Raw genomic sequence first — 17,917 nt, 5'->3', positions numbered from 1 at the left:
CCCGGAATTCCGGGAAGGCTGATGGGCATCCCTCTTCCCAGCCACAGAACCAGAGGGAGTCCCCAGGTAGATGGTTCCAAGAAGGGAGTTGAATCTTGGGTTCCACCTCTTGCCTGTGACCCACGGGGACCCCAGTTTATGCCTCACTGTTCCTTGGTCTGTCAAGAGAGCCTGAAATAGCATTAGGTTCTCCTGTCCTTCTCAGTCCTTGACAATTAATTCTGGGAAGAATAGTGTGGCATGATATTTGGGATATTTGGATGTTAACAGGGTCCCGATGAGCAGGTTTCTCAAGAAATTATCTTTTATTCTTCAATGAATTTCCTTTTATTCTCTGCACTCCCACCCCCCAACTAAGAAGCTATCAGGAAGCTCTTTAAGTTCAGGTTAATTTGCTGGAGACATGAGTACTCATATATCAAACACTGGGAGAATTTAAGATCTCAGAAAAGTTTAGCTTCAAGGATGTATACACTGCTTTTACGTCTTAGGAAATAACACCTAGGAATTTCCTTACAAGTGCAACTTTACAGAAATTTTTAAAAATATGCATACTCACTTTTAGAACATTACTACTTCTCATAATCCTATGTATATACATGATATGTATATGTATACGTGTTTATATATGCAAATTTTAAATTTCATTCCTTGTTTCAAATGGATTTTCTCGAAGATTTTTTTTTTTTGACACTGTCTCTGTCAGCCAGACTGGAGTGCAGTGGCGCGATATTGGCTTACTGCAACCTTCGCCTCCCAGGCTTAGCGATCCTCCCACCTCAGCCTCCTGAGTAGCTGGGACTACAGGCATACGCCACCACACCTGGTTAATTTATTTTTTTGTAGAGATGGGGTTTTTGCCATGTTGCCCAAGCTGGTCTTGAACTCCTGGGCTCAAGTGATCCACTCACCCTGGCCTCCCATACTGCTGGTACTACAGGCATGAACCACCGTGCCTGGCCAATATTTTTTTTTAAAGAAATAAAAAACCACCAACTTCTACCTCAAACCACTCTTCCTAATTGAGTGTGAATTTTCTAATAATGTCTTCCCTTTGCTTACTCAGGAAGACAGATAAGAAAGTTTATAGTGTTTTTTGAAAGTCTATAATGGCAACAAGTAGAATGCTAACTGGCTGTAGAAAGAATTTATTAAGAAATGAAACATAATGATGCATTTCAGGAGTCTGCTTGCTTGTTTAGGGGAAGTGCCCAGTCATGCTGGGCTGTGTACTGGCCCAGATGTAGGAGTGTCTTTAAAGAGGGCATTTTATTTACTTATTACATTTTTATTTATTTTTTTTTTACTTTTTGAGACAGAGTCTCACTCTGTTGCCCAGGCTGGAGTGCAGTGGCGTGATCTCAGTCCACTGCAACCTCCACCTCATGGGCTCAAGTAATTCTCGTGCCTCAGACTCCTGAGTAGCTAGGTTTACAGGTGCGTGCACCACCACGACCAGCTAATTTTTGTATTTTTAGTAGAGATGGGGTTTCACCATATTGGTCAGGCTGGTCTCAAACTCCTGACCTTGTGGTCCACCAGCCATGGCCTCCCAAAGTGCTGGGATTACAGGTGTGAGCCATCGCGCCTGACCTATGTGTTTTATTTTAATAGGTTTTGGAGGACAGGTGGTGTTTGGTTACATGAATAAGTTCTTTAGTGGTGATTTGTAAGATTTTGGTGCACCCATCACCTGAGCATGTATGCTGTACCCAATGCGTTGTAAGATTTTGGTGCACCCATCACCTGAGCATGTATGCTGTACCCAGTGCGTAGTCTCTTTTCCCTCACCCACCTCGCACCCTTTCCCCTGAGTCCTCAGAGTCCATCGTGCCGTTCTTATAAAGAGGGCATACTTTTAGGAAGGTTTTTCAATGTGATTTCTACATCCACAGGGTCTTTGCTAACTCAGTCTAAGCCAAGAACAGGAAAATCTTGACAATTAATCATGCTCTGCCTCTGGAAGACACATTTCAAGTAAACTCGTGTTATTTCTAGCTATTGGTGACTTATCCAAGGGTCTGAGTGGTCTTGGAGGGAGCAGGGGAACTAGAGTCCCATAAGGACTCCTTCACGCCATTCTCAACATCTATCCATACCCCATCTGCCCCTCAACACTATAGGAAATACAAAAATGAGGGAGATATAGTCCTGACACTTAAGCAACTTATAACCTGGTGAGGAGGAGAAAAACATAGATATAAATATAGTAATACCAGTCAGAGTGTGGTAAGATCTACGGAGCGTTGGGCTATCAGAGAAGGCTTCATGAGGATGACATGTAAAGGGAGCCCCAAGGGACCAGTAAATTTCCATCAATGAGATTCCAGGGAGAGAGACCCCAATGAGCCAAAACACAGGAGTGCCTTAGGGAGCAGCAGGTGGTCCAATGTGCTCCTGCCCTGGACAGGGAGGGTGGGGATATGGGGAATTCAAACTGGAAAGTTAGGATGAGGTAAAATGAATCATCTAAGGCATTAGGCATTTTTAGTCTGTATATTGCTGGGCCCTGGGATGTGGTCAGAAAGAGAATTCTCCTAGTGATAACTTCTTAACTTCACCTAGTAGGCAATAAAGAACTACAAGAAAATTTAAAACTACCATTTATAAAGTAACTTCTATGTGCCAGATATGTGTCCTATTGTAATCTTCATAGCCACTTTGCAGTATGGATATCATGAACCCCTAGATGAAGCAAGAACCCAAAACTCAGACTCGCACAGGCAGTGAGAGTGCCAGGGTTTGAACCTGGTCTCCCTGGATTGTTCTGTTTCTGTTCATTGCAAACAGGGTCAGCGCTTTATGGAGATGATACTGGCATAGAGTGGAGAGAGATCAGGTGCACAGAGACAGGTCATGAGGCTCTTAAAATAGTCCAATCACAAGGCAAATGAGGACCCAGTGGCCAAAGACAATGACAGGGGTCAAGTTTCTGGAATCAACAGGAATTTCTAGGCATCACTCCAGGGTAAGAAACCATCTCATCACAGACTTTTTCTCCAAGAGGAACCTAGTCTTGAAACAAATCAGACTTTTTATTCCTCAGGGTAAGAGTTCTCTAATGAAATCAGACTGTCAACAGATGCAATTTCTAGCTGATTCATAAGGGCAGATTTTCATTCTGAAAATTTCCAAAGCCACCATTTAACATGGCAAGGGTTTATGAGGACATATTAGTCAACTTGAGTGTTTTTAGTCTCTATATTACTGGGCTCTGGGATGTGGTCAGAAAGAGAATTCTCCTGGTATTACCAATATGGCACGTTATTGAAGGCACCTTTCTCAGAACTGTGGAAATTCTGAGAGCTTGTATGTCCCTTGATCATCTTTCTTTCATTCTAGGAATTCTGTGATCAAATCTTTATCCTCTAGACTCAAAAATAATTCTTTAAAAAAACAGTGTGGAAACCCATTGAGATAATGTGTTTGTGTAATTATCCATTCTTGTAAAGACAACTGCCCACAATGGAATTTCCCATCTTCACCTTTGTCAGTCAAACACAAAATGTTTAACCCTTCACATTTAATCTTTCAACTTCTTGAGATCCCAAAGTATTATTGCTACTGTTACTTCATTCATCTTCAAGACATGTCTTGAGGCTGTAAGGGCTTTCCTAAACATTGGGAGCTCTTCATAAGACAGTTGCTACTTTCCTTAAAACAGCATGCCTTAAATAGGCAGTTTGATAAATCACCTGTGCATATACTTCATTTTAGATGTGAGAATTGAAAAAGAAAAAAATTGACTTCACAATTCTGCACCAAAAGAATGAGTTTCACGAATGCGTCAGTTAGAGGTGCTAATATAGAACGGTTGCTGAGCTCTAAAACTCCACTACTCCACCCCACTCCCCTGATAGAGAAGTATTCCCAGACTGGTTTTTGCCTAAAGCCTTGGGTATTCTGAATACCTCTTTGTGATTTTTTTTTCTCTTCCTTTTTGAGACAGGGTCTCACTCTGTCACTCAGGCTGGAGTGCAGTGGCGAGATATTGGCTCACTGCAACCTCTGCCTCCCGGGTTCAAGTGATTCTCCTGCCTCAGCCTCCCCAAGTAGCTGGGATTACAGGCACCTGCCACCACGCCTGGCTAATTTTTGTATTTTTAGTAGAGACGGGGTTTCACCAAGTTGGCCAGGCTGGTCTCGAACTCCTGACCTCAGGTGATCTGCCCACCTTGGCCTCCCAAAGCACTGGGATTACAGGCATGAGCCACCGCACCCAGTCCTCTTTGTGACTTTTTTGTTGGAGTCATTCTTCTGCGAGCTATGGATATCATCAAGGCAGGCAGTCCCTCAACGTGGCAGCTGTTCCCACCCTTCCCTGCTCCTCTTCTTGCCCAAGGATGAGCAGAAACTTTACAGAAAAAGAGAGAATTCCCTCAGGAAATGAGGCATGTTGCTTGAGGTCACAGGGAATAGAATTAGCAGGAAAATAAACCTTGCAGGAAGCAGAAAGTGGGCCAAAGCACTGAGGAGAGGACACGGGGAGGGCGTGAGTTTTTGACAGATTTCTCTCTGTAAAATGAGGAGGTCACCCAGGGATCTTGAAACTCCCTTCCAGTTCCTTCACTCTATGTCAAGGATTCCAGAAAGGAAATAAAATAAGCTCTGCTTAAAAGGCATTTTCAAGCTGGGGAACTTTGGGATGAAAAAGTTTCCCAAATGAAGACATACTGGCACGGTCAGGGTTGAGCGACTTTTGTGTATCAATGCACCCAAGCCTGATGTCTCATTGTGGGTTATTTCCAGCTCTGAAGAAGTACTGCCTGGCAGCCAGCATGACCCACTGCTTCTGTAATTGCTGCAGTTGCAGGTGTCAACGCAAAAACTCCACTCACTCAATTCTCAAAATCTATCCAATATCTCTCATGCCCCTTTTCAATACTATAGGAAATGTAAAAATGAGCGACATAGTCCTGATCCTTAAGAGAGTCATAAGTTGGTGAGGAGGAGAAAGGCATAGATATAGTCATGGTAACACAAGTCATATGTGGTAAGATCTACTGAGCATGGGGCTATCAGAGAAAGCTTCATGAGGGTGACATGGAAAGGGAGCCCTGAGGGACTGGTAAATTTCCATCAGTGACATTCCAGGGAGAGAGGCCCCAAGACACAGGGGCAGCAGGTGGTCCACTGTGCTCCTGCCCTGGACAGGGAGGGCGGGGTCCTCTGCTGTTTGTTTGCTTGTGTAGGAATTTTCCCCTCAAACAATGTCCTTGTCTCCCATGGGAGAAGTTTTACATGAGTGGGAACCTGTTTCTCTTCTCTATCCCAGGCCATTCCCTGAGAGAAGAGAAAGGGGAATCTTTTTTTTTTTTGGACAGTTTCGCTCTGTCGCCCAGGCTAGAGCACAGTGGTGCAATCTCAACTCACTGCAACCTTCAGCTCCTGGGTTCAAGTGATTCTCCTGCCTCTGTCTCCTGAGTAGCTGGGATTACAGGTGTGCACCACCATGCCTGGCTCCTTTTTTGTAATTTTAGTAGAGAGGGGGTTTTTGCTATGTTGCGTAGGCTGGTCTTGAACTCCGAGCCTCAAGCCATCCATCTGCATGGGCCTTCCAAAGTGCTGGGATTACAGGCATGAGCCACTGTGCCCAGCTGAAAAGAGAATCTTAATTCAGTTGATTACTTCTAAAAGTTATAAGACCTTCTTCACTGAAAGAGTTCACATAGAAGCTGAACTTGAATCCAGCCCTCTTAAATTTCAGTTCAATATTCCCTGCACATCTGCACATCTTTACATGAATTCTCAGTGATATTCCTTCATCCATCCATTCATGCATGAGGATTACAGAGATGAAGAAAGTTCCAGCTCTTATCCTCTTGTGCTCACAGTTTAACACGGGAGATGAAACTGCTGCTGAATGGCTCCCATTCTGAAGTCAGCCAACAGTGTTTGCCAATAGCCCCCACTGAATACCCCACCATATTCTCAAGTAACTCACTCATTTAGGGGAAAACAATAATATAATTGTCTCTAGAAATTTTAGGTATTCTCCACTCTAAGATTACTCAGTGTTTTGACTGATCTCAAGGCGACTCCGTGGTTTGCTTCTGTCAAAAAGAAAACACAGTTCCCACTGGGAAATGTGTGGAGAGTAATGGTTCAAAACGCCAGCTGTACATTAGTGTATATCCAGGATGCTTTAAAAAGTGATGGCCAACCCCTACTGGGAAGTGAGGAGCCCCTCTGCCCGGCCAGCCGCCCCGTCCGGGAGGGAGGTGGGGGGAGTCGGCCCCCCCGCCCGGCCAGCCGCCCCGTCCGGGAGGTGGGGGGCGCCTCTGCCCGGCCGCCCCTACTGGGAAGTGAGGAGCCCCTCTGCCCGGCCACCACCCCGTCTGGGAGGTGTGCCCAACAGCTCATTGAGAGCGGGCCAGGATGACAATGGCGGCTTTGTGGAATGGAAAGGCGGGAAAGGTGGGGAAAAGATTGAGAAATCGGATGGTTGCCGTGTCTGTGTAGAGAGAGGTAGACATGGGAGACTTTTCATTTTGTTCTGCACTAAGAAAAATTCCTCTGCCTTGGGATCCTGTTGATCTGTGACCTTACCCCCAACCCTGTGCTCTCTGAAACATGTGCTGTGTCCACTCAGGATTAAATGGATTAAGGGCGGTGAAAAAAAAAAAAAAAAAAAAAAAAAAAAAAAAAAAGTGATGGCCAAGACTCATAAGATGAATTAAGCGGACTCTCTGGGGAACAGAACCGAACATCACAATACCTTCCCTTCCAGTTCCTTGAATACTTCCAAATCGCACTTAGGATTGAAACTCACCAAATTAGAGAGATGGAATAATGATTTCCATGGTTGGTCTGATTCACTAGGAACAGGTATGCTCAAGCAGTACTTCTCAACCTTTAATGCATTTAGAAATCATCCAGGGATCTTGTCACGGAGCAAATTCTGACTCGGGAGGTCAGGGGTTACCGCCTAAGATTCTGGTGCAAACAGGTTCCACAGGAGGCCTATGTTGTGGGTGCATGAACCCCATTTTGAGTAACAAGGCTATCAAGTCAGAGAATAAATACGCATTGCTTTTACCCACACAGAACTTGCGACTGAAATGAGAAAATAGGCTGAGTGTGATAGCTCATGCCTGTAATACCTGCACTTTGGGAGGCCAAGGCAGGAGGATCCCATGAGCCCAGGAGTTCAAAACCAGCCTGGGCAACATAGTGAGACTCTGCCTCTTAAAAAAAAATTAGAAAAAGGGAAAACCAATCTGGGAAAGATCAAATATTGATCAAACATTGCAAATAATGCCATAAATGATCAGAATAGGGAGAGTAACATGCTACCTGGAGAACTAGAAAAAAAATTCTCAGAGAAGGTGGCCCTGGGACCTCCTGGCTCTGAATGGTGGTTCTGAATATCAGGAGAGGGGCTGGAGAATGGTGTTTTCTAGTGATGCTGCTGGAGTCGTGTACATGGACCGTGTTCCATGAGTAGTGAGCTGACCAATTAGAGAGATGAGGGGTTTGCCAGGACAACTACATAATGAGCCATATTTCAACATACATGAAGTTTTGTGTGTGTGTGCCAAGCAAATGAGTCTCAGATTCTCGGACAAAAACGAATACTTTTGCTCAGACAGACAGCATGTGAGTGCTTCTCCCCCAGCTTCAACCCTGCAGTGTCTACAGGTGTCATTGGTCCCCGGTAGACGTCCTCGGTTCAATGGGTCACTGATCACTTATCACCAGCACCACATGACCCTGGATGGCAGCCAAAGAGTTCCTGGGTCTTGTTTCCCTACCTCCACATTTTTTTCCTGACCCAGCCCGAGCCACGTGCACACCACAGGGCTGGAGTCCCAGTGCTTTTGTCCTGACAGCCCATTCTCCCACTCCCACACCCAACCAGTTCCCCGGGGGGTTTTTGACCAGCAGCTCCGCCTGCAGCCCTCGACCCGGATCCAGGCATCCTGCTTAAGGAGGGGTTCAGGTGGCAGGAAACTCCAGGGCAACAAAGTGTGGGTGGCATGGGTGGGGTTGACCGGAAGGTCACTGTGCTGGGAGGAAGAGGAACGGGTGGAGGGAAGGCAAGATACGGATCAGGAGTATTGACATCCTGTGCCAGTAGAGGGGCCTGCCCCATGGTGGAAGGTGTGGCCGGATGAGCTCGCTGGCCCATGTCCCCCCGTTTCCCAGGCTTTTTCCTCCCACGCTGTATGCAGTGCAAGAACAAGCTGGTGCAATTGGACTAGCAGCAATTGAGTCCTTTTACCCAAAAGAAGAAGAAAGAGCAATGTTTCAAAAGAATAAAAAGGAAGCTGCAGCCAGGTGCAGTGGCTCATTCCTGTAATCCCAGCACTTTGGGGGGCCAAGAGGGGAGGATCCCTGGAGCCCAGGAGTTTGAGACCAGCCTGGGCAACATAGTGAGACCCCACCTCTATTTTTTAAAATGATAATTAATTTTAAATAAGGAAGTTTGTGAAAGCCATTGGTTTCTTTATTCTAAAGAGCGTGGAAAATAGGACAGTCTCCAACAGGCCCTGATTTCCTTTGGTAAGAAAATGAGCAAAGCTATAGACTAGGAAACATGACTGGTTAAAGCCGGCCCATGCACCAACTCCGATACTGATAGTTATGTTTCCTTTCGTTCTTATTTGCTTCAAGCTTTGTTCCAGAAAACATTTGAACACTAGCTAGAACCACCACAGTGAATATCCATTGCCTAAATGCTATCTTTCAGGTATTATGTTCAGACATAGTATTACTTTGGTTAATTCTCAAAATAAAGTAGGTCATATGATTATCCCCATTTTCTGCCTGGTGAACTGTGGTTAAATGGGCTTACAGAGATTAAATGGGTTGCCTGATGTAGCCCAACGAGGAAGGGGCTAGGATAGGAAGCAGGCGCTCTCATTCCAGAACCTGCCTTTTTTCCTCCTGTCTAAACTGCTGCTAAAGGTCAAAGACAAAGGTGCCATGTGAGCAGGGAAGTTATTTTTGTTTTTTACAAAGGTGAAGTAATAGGCTGTGAGTAATGCCCACTGCTCCTTCAGCCCCAGGTACATGCAGTGAGGCGGTACCCACAGAGCCGCGTGGCACTCCTCAACCTGCTAGAGCAGCCGGCCTCCTGCAGGATGGCTTAAGGACCACCTGGTCCTTGGGGTCTGGGTTCTCCGGGTCCTGCTGTTCCCTGCAGCCTTCCTTCTACCCCCAGAGCAGCTTGGGGGCATCTTTAGAGAAAGCGGCAGTGTCGCACCTGCCCCAGCAGCCACAAAACAGAGGAAATTCTGAGCACCTCCGGGCGTGAGTCACCATACCACATTCAGGAATTGCCACCTCTGCCCACAGAATCACCCACTCTTTTCTGTTTGGGACCAAAATAGATACCTCCTTCAGAAGCCGCTGCTTTCTGTACTCTCAGCAATAAAAAAACAAAGGCTAGGATAGGTGTGTGCCTCTGAGGCGTGAGGGGGGGCGCGTTTTCTCCCCTGGGAAGGTTTTCAGAGAGAAGTTGTTGCTACAGCAGTACAGGCAGCTGATGGGTTGAGGGTACAGGAGGAAGAGGGAAAGTCAGGGAGATTGGAGACAACCTCTTGTGTGGTAGGACTTCCGGCTATTGGTTTGTTCATTCCTTTGTTCATTCATTCATTCAGCAAATGTTCATTGAGGAACTGCTATGTGTCAGGCACAGGGTTTGAGACACAGAGATGAATAAGAGCCCATCCTTGACCTCTGCACAGACAATTATGACACAGGCTAAGTGCTGAGATACAAGTTTAAAGAAGGAGTCGATGGAACACACAGATCGATGTTCATTACCCCTGCAAAACCCAGCACATCTCACATCAGGGACTGCCTCATTCACATCATGTTAGATGTGACAGAGAGGACAGCAGAGAGCGTTGTTTTGTCATCAACTACTAAAATTATTAAAACCAAACACCACTAATTTTGAACTTCAGGTAGACAGAGGATGTAGAGTTTTCCTTTGCTCAAGAAATTCCTTTACAGAGAAAATGGGAACATTTCAAGTGGGAGTATTTCAATTCCTTTAATAACAACCTGTTTTCTAGCTCCCACATTCCCCAAGTATTCTAGAAGCACCTTTCATAATGGACAGCTCTGACCAACTGCCCCACACACATGCATGTGAACCGTTCTCCAATCCTAAAAGTCTGTGACTTCTCCAAGGAAAGGAGGAAGGAATCGTATTAGTCCAGTTTACATTATTATATACTTTGTAGCAAAGCAGCAATGTTTCCTTAAAAAATTCTATATATATATATATATATATATATAGCTGGGCATGATGGCTCACGTCTGTAATCCCAGCACTTTGGGAGGCTGAGGCGGGCAGATCACCTGAGGTCAGGAGTTCGAGAACAGCTGACCAACATGGTGAAACCCCGTCTCTACTAAAAATACAAAAGTTAGCCAGGTGTGGTGGCACATGCCTGTAATCCCAGCTACTCAGGGAGGCTGAGGCAGGAGAATCCCCTGAACCTGGAGGCTGAGGTTGCAGTGAGCCGAGATTGAGCCACTGCACTCCAGCCTGGGTGACAGAGGGAAACTCCGTCTCAAAAAAAAAAAGAAAAAAAATATATATATATATATATATATATTTGTGTGTATTTTCTCCTCATGAAATGAGCTCCTTGAAGCAAATCGGCCCATCTTTTCAGAGAAAGATCAGTTTATTACGTCACCAAGTAAAGGGCAAAGGAATCATTTCTAAAAGTTTCGTTTGAAGTCCCCGGAGTTAAAGTTGACGTCAGCCTCTTCCTGCCCTGGTGCCCCGAGAGTTTCCCGGGAGTTTTGGGGATGACACCCGGCTGCATGCGTGACATCTCGCTGGCTGGGGGCAGGCCTGGTGGCTTCCCCGACAATGAAACCAGGCAGAGCCTGCAACCCAGCTGAGCACCAGTGTGGTCTCTGCTTCCGGTCCTTGTGGTAGCACCTCTGTTTACAGCCTGATTTAGAACAAAAAGAACTTTTGTAAAGGAGAAAACTCCTTATATTAAATGGAAAGCAAAACAAACAATTACCAAAAAAAAAAAAAAGTTGGAGGGGTGTTTCAGAATAAAAGAGCCGTCTCTCCAGACATCTGTCTGACGCCCAGGTGGCGCTGAGACCACAGGGTGAGCCTTTTGGCTGGAGATGTTGATCCCTGGTTTACTGCACTTCGGGCTTTCACTACCTTTCACCCACCGGACCATCAGTTTCACTTTCCCTCTCCCAGCGTCTCTCAAGCTCTGCTTCTCTGGCCCCGTTTTCAATCTAGTGCAAGAGGACCTGTAGCCAGGGCACCCATCCTCCTCCTCCTCGTCCTGCACTGGGATCCCAGCTCTGAGCACTCCCGGGCCAGGGAGGCCTTGCTGCGTGCTCTGCTTCTGTGATCTTACAGATTCCTCATGGCCACCATAGGAGATGGGGACTGTTAGCACTATTCCCCCACCCCAACCACCTTTTTTTTGAGACAGAGTCTCACTCTGTTGCCCAGACTGGAGTGCAGTGGTATGATCTCGGCTCACTGCAACCTCTGCCTCCCGGGTTCAAGAGATTCTCATGCCTCAGCCTCCCCAGTAGCTGGGATTACAGGCATGCCCCATCGCCATGCCTGACTAATTTTTGTATTTTTAGTAGAGACAGGTTAGTAGAGACCATGTTGGCCAGGCTGGTCTCAAACTCCTGACCTCAATTGATCCACCAGTCTCAGCCTCCCAAAGTGCTGGGATTACAGGCTTGAGCCACCACGCCCTGCCACCATTCCCATTTTACGGATGAGGAAACTGAGACCATGAGGCAGTAATTCACTCTCCCAAGAAAGCAAGGAGCCAGTAGATCTGAGCAGAACCCATGCATTCAGGCCGACACAGGAAGCAAGCTGTCAACAGGCACTGTTCATCTCCTGGGCTGCCTAGGCAGGCCCTGAAGCTCTGGTTTTCAGTCACCCTGTTATTCATCCCCAAGTTAATCTCCCCTGAAAGCACCTGTCGTGATGCCCTTTCGGCTGCAAGAGCTCCAGTCATTTCCATTGCCTCAGGGGCACTTTGCTACCTCCTCTGCCTGGCACACAACATGCTCCCCAGCCAAGACTGTTCCCTCAGCACATAGCACGCCTTGGCCAGCAGGTCTCCTCCTGTCCTTCAAAGGGAACCTCCTCATTTGTGATTTCAAAGCTGGACTCCCAGGAACACCCTCCTCCCTTACTGGAACAATCTTCCCCATCTTGTCTGCCTACCGGAATTTTTCCCAACCAGAAAAGCGTCTTGAGAGAATGGAAAAGTCTTATGAATTTGGAAAGTTGACAGCTTGAATTCAAATCCTAGCTTGAACTTGTGAATTTCTACTTTCCTTTACGAAAACCTTTGCATGCCATTCTGTGCAGGCACTAGCAAGGTGGTGGGAGGGAGATGGATACAGTAGGGTGAGTGCCGTGTAAAGAAAAGGGAGCAAAGTCTGGGACTGCAGAGAAATGCCACAAAGCACAGACAGAAGAGTCCCGGAGGCTTCCCAGAGAAAGATGACAGCCAATGGGAGACCTCCAGGGAAAGCAGGAGTTAAGAAGGTAGAAATGCATTAGGGAAGTGTGGCATGAGCATGATGGTCAATTTCAATGTGTCCACTTGCCTGGGCTAAGGGATGCCCAGATAGCTGGCTAAACAGTCTCTCTGGGGGTGTCTGTGAGGGTATTTCCAGGAGACACTAGCATTTGAATTGAATAGACTGGGTAAATTTCTTGTTGGTAGACTGAGTAAAGAAAATCACCCTCACCAGTGTGGTGGGGATCATCCAACCATAGAGGACCAGAATAGAACAAGAAGGCAGAGGAAGGTTGCATTCTCTCTGTTCAAGCTGGGACATCCGTCGTCTGCTCTTGGACATTTGCACTCCTGGTTCTCCAGCTTTTGGACTCTGGGACTTACAGCAGGGCCCCTCTGCTCCTCAGGCCTTCAGTCTTAGACTGAGCCACACCACCAGCTTTCCTAGTTATCCAGCTCCAGCTGGCATATTGTGGGACTTCTCAGCCTCCATAATTGAGTGAGCCAACTCCCATTATAAATATTCTCTTATTTATCTACATACATCCTATTGGTTTTGTTTCTCTAGAGAAATTCTGTTTCCCTGAATAATACAATGACCAAGGCCCAAGACAAAACACATGGTGAGCTCCAAGAGCCACGCAGAGTCCCGCAAGGCAGGAGAGCTCAGGCACATAGTGGAAGCAGAGATTTTGAAGTTGGGCATGAGCTGTGTCTTGGAGTCTCCCCATGTCACTGGGCTTAAACTGTGTCCTGGAAGGAACAGAACATCCCAGAGGGGTCTCAGTCAGGGCATGGCTTGTACTTTGGAGAGACAGCATTGGGTTTATGTGAAGAATGAAGGAAGAAGAGAAAGCACTGGGTTTATGTGAAGAATGAAGGGAAGCAGAAAGGCAAACCCATAGGGCATTGAGTAACCTCCATGGAAGTCCATGAGGGTAGGGTTTTAACCTCGGTGGGCCTCAGCTTCTGTTCGTATAAAATGGGAATAACACAGACCCTGCTGGGTGCTGTAAGGCTACATAAGCTAGCCTGCCTAGAGTGACCAGAGCACACAGTAGGTGCTCACTAAATGTGACTTGCTGGGCTTCTAGTCTGCATGGCCAAAGGCCCTTCCCTCGGACCTTTCCGTGTGGATGCCTCACAGGCTGCTCAGTCTACACATCCAGAACTGTCCTCCCTCCCTGGAACCTACTCTTTCTCCTCTCTTTGCTATCTCAATGAATGGCACCCCATCCTCCCCATCGCCCAGGAAATCTGGGCAAAATCCTCATTTCTTCCTTGCTGTCCTCCATGCACCTAATAATCCAGCCTCAATTTTTGGCAATTCCAACTTCTAAAATCTCTTAACGCCAGCAACCCCTCTTCTTGCTTACTTATCACCACCCACCTCAGGACTCCCATGACAGCCTTCCTGTGATGCATGACGGGCACATGACAAGGGCAGTTGAGGGTCAGGGGCCACGGGAGCAGGATGCAGCCAGCACATGAGGGAGGATAGGCGGGAGGACAGGCAGACACTTGTGCGTAAGAGCACGCACTTGTCAGGCTGCCTGGGTCCAAGTCCTAGCTCCACCACTGAGGGGCTGTGTGTCTCTGGGCAAGTCACTGGGCCTCTCTGTGCCTTAGTTCCTGCCTCTAGAGAACGGAGATGAGAAGAACACATCACCTCATAATTAATTACTGCATAAGTAATAATTTTAATTATATTGACTATTATACTCTATTAGTGTATGATGTCTTTTATTATATATATTTATCATATAATATACTAATTATATTAATGAGTATACTATAGTATTTTATATAACATACCCTAATTGCTTATTATATATCTGTATAATTATTTTATCATATAAGATAATTTCATAAGCTAAGATGGTATTTTATATATTTCATTTATTATATATTTATATTTATATACTTTATTGTATTTGAATTGTGATGTCTAATAAAATAATAGATACGTTAATTATCCTTCATATTCATAATAAGCTCCTTCATTGGTGTCTGGGAAGCCGAGAACATTTGTGCGTGTGAGCTCTCCTGTGTGTTCGGCATGCAGTGTGTTGCGTCTCAGCTGACGTGATTGCTGTTTTTGGTGGCCCGGAGGCACAGGGTGCATGCTACAGGCAGGAAGAGCTTTGGAGCAGGCTGACTCCTGAGCTCTCCTCTGGTGCCGTGGCTTCTGAGGCCCCCAGGTGACAACCAGCCTTTGCCATTCTAGTGTTTCCTCTATGTTCATCCCGCGTTCTGAGTGTGGCACAGGCCACACTCCTGACCCCACCAGCATCAGGTGCTGTGCACATGGTATGAGGTCGGGATGGAGTGCTGTTGGCATGGGGGTTGTTCCTTGGGCTACCTGTGTCCACATGGTCTGATTAACCCCTTCTGCACATCAGCAAGGGTTCAGCACCTCCTCAGGGTTAGGGCATGCGCAGGGCATGCAGGGATTTGAGGGTCCTTGGACAATGCATGTTCTCCATGCAAGCATGCAGAGACATGGAGAGGGTCTTTGTCCCTTTCAGTCCTAACATTCTGTGGCTTCATAACTACTTGTCCCACACCCGAGTAAAAAGCAGGATCTTCTCAGCACTGTGCTGAGGAAGTCTTTAAACCTTCCAGTAGGACATGGGATCCCTGCCTGCATCTTAAGTTCCCATGTCCTTAGGAAACGTGGCCACCTTGGAATTCAGCTCTCCAAGAAGCCCAGTGTGAATGCCCATTGCAGGAGCATCTGAGCTCACCCCCACTAACCCTGAGGTATCTGTTGAAAAGAATAGAACCCACCCACTGAAACTATCAGAGATCAAATGTTGTGTGTTGACTAAGAATTTGTGTTAAGGCAGGGATAGTTGAGCACCAATGCTTTCAAGGAACTCTGGAGAAATGCAAGCCTGTATTTCCTCTCAGCATGGCTGCAGAAGAGGGCCAGGGCAGCAGACAGGCATTTTGACCCACTCACAGATGAATACAAAGACTAAACTCAGCAAAAGCCTTGAGGTTGCATTTATGTGTCTGAGAACAGTCCCTGGAGCACAGGCATGGGCTTTTGGTACCACGTAACCTACAACCGTAAGCTCTCTGCTCTATGCTGTCCACTCCATCAATCCCACAGTGCCTGAAATGTCATTGTCTTACCCGATGTCTGGGGTAGCATCTGTGAACACACGGATTTGACACTTTTATGATGCTGTTTGTCTCTACTGAACCCTTCTTAAGCAAAATCACAGTAGACTAGCAGATCATGGTAGTATCTGAAAGCGCCAGGACCCCAGAACCTCAATCAGTGCTCCCCACTTCCCATGGTTTTCTCCCTGTGTTTCCACATTTGGATTGTCATTGTCTGTGAAAAGGCATGATCCCTGTCAACAACACACAGTGTATGCAATGTGTGTCTTGTGTAAAACGGAGTGTGAATTCTTGAGAGCAGGAAGGAAAAGGGGTACAAGAGGTTCCCCTGCGAGATGGGTGAGGAGCAGGGCAGAGTGAGCCTGGCTGCTGGGAACCCCTGAGGAGAGCTCTGGAGAGGGTTCTGGACACGTGGGCTTGGTCAGCCTGACAATTAGGATTTGTGTTAACAGGACCGGCCCTCACCTGACACCAACTGGACTGAGGTTCCCAGGAGAAACTCTTAGCATCATGACTTTGGAGGTTGCCATCATTTTTGATGACTTTTTCTTTTTCCTTCTTTTCTGTTTCCCTCTTGTCAAGTTTCTACCTGTAAGTTATACTTACTTATTCTGTGTTTCTTTACAGTCTCAGGGGAAATTCCGTTGAGTTGAAAATTTCCTCAGCTCCTCGCTCCAGTTTCTCAGAAGAGTCTCTCTCCTTGCAGAAAAGACTGTGGGTGGGAGTCACCAATTTAGCATATTTCTACTAAAAATATGACTCCATCCCAAGAAATTGGTTTTAAAGATTTGAGGAAAAACTGCTTTTAGATTTCAGAGAAAGAAAAAGAGTGTGTTTCTACTTCCCCCTTTTAAATCTGATAACTTTTATTTTAATCAGGTTGACATTCTGTGGTGAGCTTGTGGTTAACTCTTTCATGCCCGGAAGCCTGTTGTCGACCGAGAAGACTCCCAGGATTAGAACATAACCAGCGCCCAACATTTCATTTGCAGAAGCATCTGAGGTCCCAAAATGTGATGGTTTAGCGGCAGCTGCTTGTAGGGGTATTTTTGGTTTCCTGCTTCTTTTTTCCCTTCTAAGTAAAGACAAAATAACTAGATCCCTCCACCCCACCACCCCATCATTTCGTTGTTGTTTAACAAGTGTTGAGTAAGGCACAGTTGTTCTCCAAAAGGGTCTTACCCTGTGAGTTACTCATTTTAGGGTTACGGAAACTCTGACTATTTGACCCAGTCAACCAGGCCTCAGAAACTGTGGGTCAGATAACAAATAACTCATGGTGCTTCTGTGCTAATTACTGCAGAGATGTGTCCAAGTGCTCGGAGATCTCCTCCTTGAAGCCAAGGTCTCCTCCTTGAACCACACCGCCTTCTTCTCCTTTCCCGAGGGAATCAGGCAACTTTTCTTTGATGACAGCAACTTCCTTAAATCCCCCAAGCCCTGAGACAGGCACTTTACTTCTCCCACATTTCCTTCAACATTTGTGCTTGCTGAATGAAACAAGGAAGGTGAATGTTTGCTTGAATGAACCAATCAATGGGTAACAGCACCAGTGCTAATGCTAATACACTCAACTACTCATTCAGAACCTACCATGGCCCAAGGCTTGTGCTCTGCTCTTGGGTGCTGATCCAGCAAAGAGTGGGTGGAGGGGGAGTGGGAGGTGAAGTCCCTATACCACCACTTATATTTTGCACTGTCTTATTTTTTCCTCTGGTCACATGCATACATAAATTTTATATCTCTGTAATTATGCCATTTAAAAATCTTCCTACTGAGGTAGAAGTTGGGACTCAACCCCCGAGGCAGGGCTCAGACATCGGACAAAATTGAGGACTAGCAAAAACAGGATTGGGGCAGAAGCAGCTTTCCATAAGACATGCTCATGAGTGTGCCATGTCAGTTTACCATTGCCATGGCAACACCCAGGCGTTCCTGCTCCTTTCCATAGCAGTGACCGGATGACCCAAAAGTTACTACCCCTTCCCTAGAAATTTCTGCAAACTGCCCCTTAAACTGCGTGTAATTAAAAGCAGATATAAATATGAATGCAAAACTGCCCTGACCTACTACTCTCTGCCTATGTGGTCGCCCTGCTCTACAGAAGCAGTCACGGAGCTGTAGCACAGCCGGAACTATAACATTGCCACTTCAATAAAGCTGTTTTCTTTTATTCTACCACTGGCTTGCCCCTGAATTCCTTCCTGGGCAAAGCCAAGAACCCTTGCGGGCTAAGCCCCACCTCGGGGCTCGCTTGTCCTGCATCACTACCACCTTCTCTAGGAAGATGC

At 46.4% G+C, this 17,917-nt stretch overlaps 1 protein-coding gene across 3 annotated transcripts in view, besides 4 other annotated features; it reads left to right on the top strand.

The window, feature by feature from the left end:
• Positions 1 to 17,917, top strand: part of IL2RA (interleukin 2 receptor subunit alpha) — a 51,679-nt gene that overhangs the window by 299 nt on the left and 33,463 nt on the right. The window lies entirely within an intron of this gene.
• Positions 9,043 to 9,543: a transcriptional cis regulatory region, noted in NCBI's record as "chr10:6094489-6094989 region (GRCh37/hg19 assembly coordinates) targeted for CRISPR interference". NCBI's record gives its function as "positively regulates IL2RA gene expression in anti-CD3- and PMA-stimulated Jurkat T cells {active_cell/tissue: Jurkat(+anti-CD3 and PMA for 4hr)}" and the evidence as "EXISTENCE:mutant phenotype evidence [ECO:0000015][PMID:33828297]".
• Positions 10,565 to 10,834: an enhancer, noted in NCBI's record as "active region_2949". NCBI's record gives its function as "activates an Ori minimal core promoter by ATAC-STARR-seq in GM12878 lymphoblastoid cells {active_cell/tissue: GM12878}" and the evidence as "EXISTENCE:reporter gene assay evidence [ECO:0000049][PMID:35858748]".
• Positions 10,925 to 11,054: an enhancer, noted in NCBI's record as "active region_2948". NCBI's record gives its function as "activates an Ori minimal core promoter by ATAC-STARR-seq in GM12878 lymphoblastoid cells {active_cell/tissue: GM12878}" and the evidence as "EXISTENCE:reporter gene assay evidence [ECO:0000049][PMID:35858748]".
• Positions 11,065 to 11,444: an enhancer, noted in NCBI's record as "active region_2947". NCBI's record gives its function as "activates an Ori minimal core promoter by ATAC-STARR-seq in GM12878 lymphoblastoid cells {active_cell/tissue: GM12878}" and the evidence as "EXISTENCE:reporter gene assay evidence [ECO:0000049][PMID:35858748]".

Source organism: Homo sapiens, chromosome 10 (genome assembly GCF_000001405.40).
Source record: "Homo sapiens chromosome 10, GRCh38.p14 Primary Assembly".
In the NCBI taxonomy this organism is placed as follows: domain Eukaryota; kingdom Metazoa; phylum Chordata; class Mammalia; order Primates; family Hominidae; genus Homo; species Homo sapiens.
This window is presented reverse-complemented; position numbering and strand designations above follow the sequence as displayed.